This window comes from Homo sapiens, chromosome 7 (genome assembly GCF_000001405.40).
Source record: "Homo sapiens chromosome 7, GRCh38.p14 Primary Assembly".
Taxonomy (NCBI): Eukaryota; Metazoa; Chordata; class Mammalia; order Primates; family Hominidae; genus Homo; species Homo sapiens.
Window position 1 is genome coordinate 63,170,354 of NC_000007.14, and position 9,252 is coordinate 63,179,605.

Below are 9,252 nucleotides of genomic sequence, written 5' to 3' on the forward strand. Positions count from 1 at the left end.
AAAATTTTGTTTAGCTAGTTCTAACAATCCCCAGGGAGTCTTGTTTTGCTTGATAGCTGCCTCTGATGCTGGCGCACAGTCACCTCTTTCCAACCTTCTGCATCCAGCCTTTATTTTTTTTATTTTATTTATTTTATTTTATTTTATTTTTGAGACAGAGTCTCGCTCTGTCGCCCAGGCTGGAGTGCAATGGCGCGATCTCGGCTCACTGCAAGCTCCGCCTCCCGGGTTCGCGACATTCTCCTGCCTCAGCCTCCCGAGTAGCTGGGACTACAGGCACCTGCCACCATGCCCGGCTAATTTTTTGTAATTTTTAGTAGAGACGGGGTTTCACTGTGTTAGCCAGTATGGTCTTGATCTCCTGACCTCGTGATCTGCCCACCTCGGCCTCCCAAAGTGCTGGGATTACAGGCGTGAGCCACTGCACCCGGCCAGCATCCAGCCGTTATGAGAAGGGGAGCTAACAAACTAATTAGACTGGTAGTTTAAAAAAATATCAATCTTGGTACATACCCAGGCCAAAAAGTCTTACATTTACCGAAACAGAACATTTGCGTCTGCCCAACTATCCAAGACTGTTAACCTCAGGCTTTTATCTCACACTTAAAAACTGGTTTTATTTTGCACTTTGGCATACTGTATAGAAGTTTGACACATTTGCAAGATAAGAACTACATTCGAAATGATGAGATCTACATTGGGAAAATTATGTGTGAACAAATTTGGAGACATAACTGAACAGTTTGTCATTGATGGAAATGTGCAAGCTCTGCCTCCCAACTTCAAGTGATTCTCCTGCCTCAGCCTCCTGAGTAGCTGGGACTACAGGTGTCCACCACCATGCCTGGCTAATTTTTGTATTTTTAGTAGAGATGGGGTTTCTCCATGTTGGCCAGCCTGGTCTCGAACTCCTGGCCTCATGCAATCTGCCCGCCTTGGTGTCCCAGAGTGTTGGGATTACAGCCATGAACCACTGCACCTGCCCAAAAAGGGGTTAATTTCTTGTACTGCTTAAAGAAAAAAATTTAAAAATTAAAAATAAAATAAAATAAAAACATGTATTAATAGTTGGCTTGTGAAATATGGTATTTTTTGCCCAGCTCCTGGTAAAATTGTTTTTACTGAACATGACTATCATGTCAGTAGGGTTTTAGTTATCAGTGCCAGAAAGGAAGTCAAAGATAAGACACAATATTTCTCAATCCACTGGCCACCTGCATCAGAATTACTTAAGGTGTTGTTTTAAAAAATGCAGCTTCTGGCCGAGCATGGTGGCTCACGCTTGTAATCCCAGCACTCTGGGAGGCCAAGGTGGGTGGATCACGAGGTCAGGAATTCGAGACCAGCCTGGCCAATATGGTGAAACCCCATCTCTACTAAAAATACAAAAATTAACTGGGTGTGGCGGTGGGCGCCTGTAGTCCCAGCTGCTCAGGAGGCTGAGGCAGGAGAATGGATTGAACTCGGGAGGCAGAGGTTGCAGTGAGCCGAGATGGTGCCACTGCACTCCAGCCTGGGCAACAGAGCAAGACTCCGTCTCAAAAAACAAAAAATTGCAGATTCCAAGTTTTCATACTGGATCTACTGAATCTCTGCAGGAGAGTCCTGCTAATTTACTATTTTAATAAGGTCTTAGGTGGTTCTTATGAAAACCGAAGTTTGAGAACTAGATTTTGAAACATACAACTATACTTAGATTCAGCACTGTTCAGAGGGAGCAAAAATTGTCGTATCCTTTATAATGTGCCAATTTTTCATGCAATCTCTTTACCAGAATTTAAAATGTACACATCCTTTGACACAGCCATTCCATTTCTAGGAATTTATCTGACAGAATAATTGAATAAATGTGCAAGGATATATGTTAAAAAAAAACCATCCATTACAAAATTGTCTATTGTAGGAGAAAAGTCTTAATAACTTAAATGCCTATCAAGGAATGTTACATATCAGGTACTGTTCTAAGCACTTCAAAAGCAGTTAAGTCATTTCATCCTCATAACATTATATAGTAATAGAATATAAAATATATATTAAAATATAATCTTAATAATATTATTATCCCTCATTTTACAGATGACAAAGCTGAGGCACAGAACAGTTAAGCACTTGTCCAAAATCACACTGCTGGTACGTGGCACAGCCAGGTCACAAAGCCAGGTTGTCTGGTTCTAGAGTCTGTGGGCTTAATCCTGCACTATTTGCCTCTCTCAACATTCTGCTGCCTTCACATAATCATTATATAAATTTTTTAATTTACAAAAATTAAATTTAAAACATGAGCGAGCTAGTATAGGTGGCTTTCTTTTTCTTTTTATTTATTTATTATCCTTTAAGTCCTGGGATACATGTGCAGAACATGCAGGTTTGTTACATAGGTATACATGTGCCGTGGTGGTTTGCTGCACGCATCAAAGTGTCATCTACATTAGGTATTTCTCCTAATGCTATCCCTCCCCTAGCCCTCCACCCTGTGAAAGGCCCCAGTGTGTGATGTTCCCCTCCCTGTGTCCATGTGTTCTCACTGTTCAACTCCCACTTATGAGTGAGAACATTTGGTATTTAGTTTTCTGTTCCTGTGATAGTTTGCTGAGAATGATGGTTTCCAGCTTCATCCACGTCCCTGCAAAGGACATGAACTCATACGTTTTTATGGCTGCATAGTATTCCATGGTGTATATGTGCCACATTTTCTTTATCCAGTGTATCAATGATGGGCATTTGCATTGGTTCCAGGTCTTTGCTATTGTGAACAGTGCCACAATAAACATACGTGTGCATGTGTCTTTATAGTAGAACGATTTATAATCTTTTGGGTATATACACAGTAATGGGATTCGTGGGTCAAATGGTATTTCTGGTTCTAGATCCTTGAGGAATCGCCACAGTGTCTTCCGCAATGGTTGAACTAGTTTACACTCCCACCAACAGTGTAAAAGTGTTCCTATTTCTCCACATCCTCTCCAGCATCTATTGTTTCCTAACTTTTTAATGATCACCACTCTAACTGGTATGAGATGGTATCTTATTGTGGTTTTGATTTGCATTTCTCTAATGACCAGTGATGATGAGCTTTTTTTCACATATTTGTTGGCCGCATAAATGTCTTTTTTTGAAAAGTGTCCGTTCATATCCTTTGCCCACTTTTGAATGGAGTTGTTTTTTTTTTTTTCTTGTAAATTGGTTTAAGTTCTTTGTAGATTCTGGATATTAGCCCTTTGTCAGATGGATAGATTGCAAAAATTTTCTCCCATTCTGTAGGTTGCCTTTCGCTCTGATGATAGTTTCTTTTGCTGTGCAGAAGCTCTTGAGTTTAATTAGATCCCATTTGTGGATTTTGGCTTTTGTTGCCATTGCTTTTGGTGTTTTAGTCATGAAGTCTTTGTCCATGCCTATGTCCTGAATGGTATTGCCTAGGTGTTCTTCTAGGGTTTTTATGGTTATAGGTTTTACATTTAAGTGTTTAATCCATCTTGAGTTAATTTTTGTATAAGGTGTAAGGAAAGGGTCGAGTTTCAATTTTCTGCATACGGCTAGCCAGTTTTCCCAACACCATTTATTAAATAGGGAATCCTTTTCCCATTGCTTGTTTTTGTCTGCTTTGGCAAATATCAGATAGTTGTAGATGTGTGGCATTATTTCTGAGGCTTCTGTTCTGTTCCATTGATCTATGTATCTGTTTTGGTACCAGTATCATGCTGTTTTGGTTACTATAGCCTTGCAGTATAGTTTGAAGTCAGGTAGCATGATGACTCTAGCTTTTTTCTTTTTGCTTAGGATTGTCTTGCTATATGGGCTCTTTTTTGGTTCCATATAAAATTTAAAGTAATTTTTTCTAATTCTGTACAGAAAGTCTATGGTAGCTTGATGGGGATAGCATTGAGTCTACAAATTACTTTGGGCAGTATGGCCATTTTCATGATATTGATTCTTCCTATCCATGAGCATGGGATGTTTTTCCATTTGTTTGTGTCCTCTTTTATTTCATGGAGCAGTGGTTTGTAGTTCTCCTTGAAGAGGTCCTTCACATCCCTTGTAAGTTGTATTCCTAGGTATTTTATTCTCTTAGTAGCAATTGTGAATGGGAGTTCACTTATGATTTGGCTCTCTGTTTGTCTATTATTGGTGTCTAGGAATGCTTGTGGTTTTTGCACATTGATTTTGTATCCTGAGATTTTGCTGAAATTGCTTATCAGCATAAGGAGATTTTGGGCTGAGGTGATGGGGTTTTCTAAATATACAATCATGTCATCTGCAAACAGAGACAGTTTGACTTCCTCTCTTCCTTTTATTTGTAAGCCCCTGACTGGGGCTGCTGCCTTTCTTTCAGAGATGCCCTGCCCAGAGAGGAGGAATCTCTAGAGGCAGTTTGGCTGCAGCAGCTTTGCTGAGCTGCAGTGGGCTCTGCCCAGTTCGAACTTCCTGGTAGCTTTGTTTACACTGTGAGGGGAAAACCGCCTACTGAAGCCTCAGCAATGGTAAATGCCCCTCCCCCCACCAAGCTTGAGCATCCCAGGTCAACTTCAGACTGCTGTGCTGGCAGTGAGGATTTCAAGCCAGTGGATCTTGGCTTGCTGGGCTCCATGGGGGTGGGATTCTCTGAGCTAGATCACTTGTCTCCCTGGCTTCAGCCCCCTTTCCATGGGAGTGAATGGTTCTGTCTTGCTGGTGTCCCAGGTGCCACTGGGGTATGAAAAAAACTCCTGCAGCTAGCTCAGTGTCTGCCCAAATGGCCGCCCAGTTTTGTGCTTGAAATCTAGGGCCCTGGTGGCATAGGCACCTGAGGGAATCTCCTGGTTTGCGGGTTGTGAAGACTATGGGAAAATCATAGTATCTGGGCCAGAATGCACTGTTCCTCACGGCACAGTCCCTCACTGCTTCCCTTGGCTAGGGGAGGGAGTTCTCTGACCCCTTGTGCTTCCTGGGTGAGGCAACACCCCAACCTGCTTCGGCTCCCCCTCCATAGGCTGCACCCACTGTTTAACCAGGCCCGATGAGATGAGCCAGGTACCTCAGTTGGAAATGCAGAAATCACCTGTCTTCTGCGTTAATCTCGCTGGGAGGTGCAGACTGGAGCTGTTCCTATTTGGCCATCTTGCCAGCCACCTAGACCTGTTTTTCTGAATTAGAAATTTTATTTTCTATTCAATCTTTCTTTTACTCTACCACAAAGAAATAAGTTTTCTCTTTTGAAATAAATAACATTTGAAAAAATATGTTTGATATGATCATGTTCATGTGGAAATGCATATTTATGTATGCATTTTAAAATTAAAGAATTTTTAAGAAAAGGATAGGCCTTAGAAGTGGGCACACAAAGTTGAAGACAGTGGTCTGTGAGTGAAGTTCTGAGTGTTTTCTATTTTCTGCCTTTTGCTTGTCTATGGTTCCTTTTCATTTTCCCACTAATTAACATACTTTGTTCTTGTAAAATGAAAAACACAACAGCAATATGTGAATGTGCCTACCATGCAAATATGTATAAAGTTTATGCTTTTGTAAGAGTGGCTTTTAAGGATAAATAGATGAAATTACAAATAGAGATGAGGGAAAATATATCTTCTTACACTGTTTTATAGTTTTGCTTCTTAAAACTGTAGAGCTCATGCATCAAGTAGACTGGAAGGTCTTCTGATGCTCAAACTTGCTTATTTTCATCATCGATCCACTTCAGTAAGAGCAGATCTCAGAGAACAAATAAACTTTTCTATTCCCATATTCTCCTTCCTGCATACTAGTCCACTGTGTTTCTTGCCTGCCACTCTTCTCAGCTAGGTTTCTTTTTCATGAGCAAACAAGTATAGGTGGCTTTCCTTTTTCTTAATTAGCAATTTTATTTTCTATTCAATCTTTCTTTTTCTCTACCACAAAAGAATAAGATTTCTCTTTTGAAATAAATAACTTTCTTTGCCTCATCTATTAACTGGATGTGATACATTTATTTCATGAAGTTATCTTGGGTCCTTCAGGGAAGCCAGCTTTATTCAGAACAATCTGAATTATATGCATTGATAAACCAATCAGTTGTGATTCATCCAAGGTGACAGAATTTACGAGGGCTTCAAAGTGGCTATCACACTAAACTCTGGGCAATATTAATGTTGGGCTAACTGAAAATTATAACTAGGACATTTCTTGAACTTATTTTCCTTTAGTACAGGCAGGTAAAATTGGTTCTCTTCGTTTTATAAATGTCATTCTTCAAAAAGAATCTGGTAGTACAAGATGACTTGCTTGCTTTCTGAATATTTTAATTATGGATTGTCGCTGGTAAGTTATTTAAGTTATTTTAATTGATCATATTGCTTTTAAAAATGAGACTTTAAAAATATTTTTAATTTGTTCTCAATTTGGGGGGTACATACACAGGTTTGTTTCAAGGGTATGTTGTGTGATGCTGAGGTTTGGGCTTCACCCAGATAGTGAACCAAGTGCCAAATGGGAAGTTTTTAAAGCCTTGCCCCTCTCCCTTCCTCTCTCCTTTTAGAGTCCTCAGTGTCGATTGTTCCCATCTTTATGTATGTGTATAACCAAGATATAGCGCCCACTTATAAGTGAGAATGTGTGATATTTGATTTTCTATTTCTGTATTAATTCGCTTAGGATAATGACTTCTAGGTGCATCTGTGTTGCTGCAAAGGACATGATATCATTCTTTTTTATGGCTGTGTAGTATTCCATGATGTATAAATACCACATTTTCTTTATCCAGTCCACTGTTGATGGGCACCTACATTGATTCTCTGTCTTTGCTATTGTGAACAGTGCTGTAGTGAACATACAGTGCATGTGTCTTTTTGGTGGAATAATTTATATTCTGTTGGGTATGTAACCATAATGGGATTACTGAATTAAATGGTAGTTCTATTTTTAGTTCTTTGAGAAATCTTCAAACTGCCTTCCACAGTGGCTGAACTAATTTACATTCCCACCAGCAGTGTATAGGCATTCCCTTTTCTCCATAGCCTTGCCAACATCTGTTAGTTTTTGACTTTTTAGTAATAGCCATTCTGACTGATGTGAGCTGCTATCTCACTGTGGTTTTAATTTGCATCTGTCTGATAATTAGTGATGTTGAGCATTTTTTCATGTTAGTTGGCTCCTTATATGTCTTCTTTTAAGGAGTGTCTGTTTATGTCTCTTGCCCACTTTTTAAATGAAGTGTTTTTTTTATTCTCATTGAGTTTAAGTTCCTTATAGATTCTGGATATTTGTCCTTTGTTGTACGCATAGTTTGTAAATATTTTCTCCCATTCTGTAGGTTGTCTGTTTACTCTGTTGATAGTTTCTTTTGCTGTGCAGAAGCTCTTTAGTTCAATTAGGTCCCGCTTGTCAAATTTTGCTTTTGTTGCAACTGCTTTTGGAGACTTTGTCATGAAATCTTTGCTAAGGCTTATGTCTAGAAAGGTATTTCTTAGATTTTTTCCTAGGGCTTATATAGTTTTAGGTCTTACATTTAAGTCTTTATTCCATTTTGAGTTATTTTTGTATATTACGAAAGAAGGGGTCCAGTTTCAATCTTCTGCAACGTTCTGTATATGGCTAGCCACTTATCCCAACACCATTTATCAAATAGGGTCTTCTTTTTCTATTGTATGTTATGTTCGACTTTGTTGAAGATCAGATGGTTTTAGGTGTGCAGCTTTATTTCTGGATTCTCTAGGTCTATGTGTCTCTTTTTGTACCAGCACCATGCTGTTCCGGCTACTGTAGCCTTGTAGTATAGTTTGAAATTGGGTAGTGTGATGCCGCTGTTCTTTTAGCTTAGGATTCCTTTGGCTATTCAGGCTCTTTGTTGGTTCCATATGAATTTTAGAATAGTTTTTTCTAATTCTGTGCAAAATGACAGTGGTAGTTTGATTGTAATAGCATTGAATCTGTAAATTGGTTTGGGCAGTATGGCCTATATAACGATATTGATTCTTCTTATCTATGAGCATGGAATGTTTTTCTGTTTGTTTGTGTCATTTCTGATTTCTTTCAGCAGTGTTTTGTAATTCTTACTGCAGATCATTTACTTCCCCAGTTAGCTATATTCCTAGTTATTTTAATCTTTTTATGGGTTACCAATTTTCTAGCAAAATGTTAAATATTAACTAATGAACATTAATCCTTTTTGAAAGATATTTTTTCTAAAATATATTACTACGTATTTTACATTTTCCTACCATTGTAATTTTGATAATTTTGTCTGTTTCCTTTTTAAATCAAACATATAAATTAACTTTATTGTTAAATATAGAAAATTCCTTATTGAATGACTATAATGATTATAAGCACACACGTAATTATGTTCTCTGAAACATTCTGCATAATTTACAATGAACAATAACTCTTTAAAAAGTATTTCAGGTGATTGTATATAGGATCAAAGTCTTCTGCATTTACATAATGTCAAGGAGAAGTAGTTATTGGACATGTTCCAAAGAGCTAAACAGGTGGGTAATTGAACTATAACTGGTAAAGTATATTGCTTGGTCTTTTATGATACAAGTCCTTTCCATTCTGAGTTTTTAAATCCACCCTCACCCCAAATTTTAGATATTAAAAAATTATTTCTACTATTGCCGTTTCACCTGCCATAAAAAATGCTCATTCTTAGCAATAGGTAAGTATATAATATCTAAATAATTGAAAAAAAAGACTCAAATATTTTAATTGAGTCTATTCGCTATAGGTAGTCCATTCAGTGGTATAACTGAGAGGAACTCAGGATTTATTGCTCTGGGTAAGTAGGAAAAACTCTGAAAAATGTGGCTAATATTGAGTTTCAAATGGCTCTTGAAATTGCTCGTGATTATCCACAAAAGCATACACTGAGTTGATGTACGCTAAGGTAACAAGGTAAAGCGTTAAGGCAATGCTTTTTGAGTTGGTGTATCTGTTTGATTCTCATTTTTCCATATCCTCATATATAAAACGAGACAATAATAATGATCTATCAAGATTACTGGAAGGTGGTAAATAATGCATAGGAAACTGCCTGCCACATAACTCACAATTAGTATTAGCCTCTTCCCCTTGCATGATAAATATCAGTGGAATATCTACAGACTTTTTAATATGATGGAATTATTTTTCATTCATTCTGCAAATCTTTATTGAACAAGTCAGTCAGGGATTAGGCATGAAAGCAGAAGCCTCTCAATATATTCCAAGTATGAATATTTTCAATGCAGGGAATTAGAGGCTTACCCAGTTGTTAGAAGGCTGCAGAAACCAACGTGAAGAAGGCTGTCAGCAACAATCTCA

The 9,252-nt window shown here is 38.2% G+C and overlaps 1 non-coding gene across 1 annotated transcript; it reads right to left on the bottom strand.

The window, feature by feature from the left end:
- Positions 1–5,586: 5,586 nt before the first annotated feature.
- Positions 5,587–5,666, bottom strand: LOC124901826 (small nucleolar RNA U2-19). Its single transcript, XR_007060658.1, has one exon. It is a non-coding gene; the product is annotated as a small nucleolar RNA U2-19 (small nucleolar RNA).
- Positions 5,667–9,252: the final 3,586 nt, after the last annotated feature.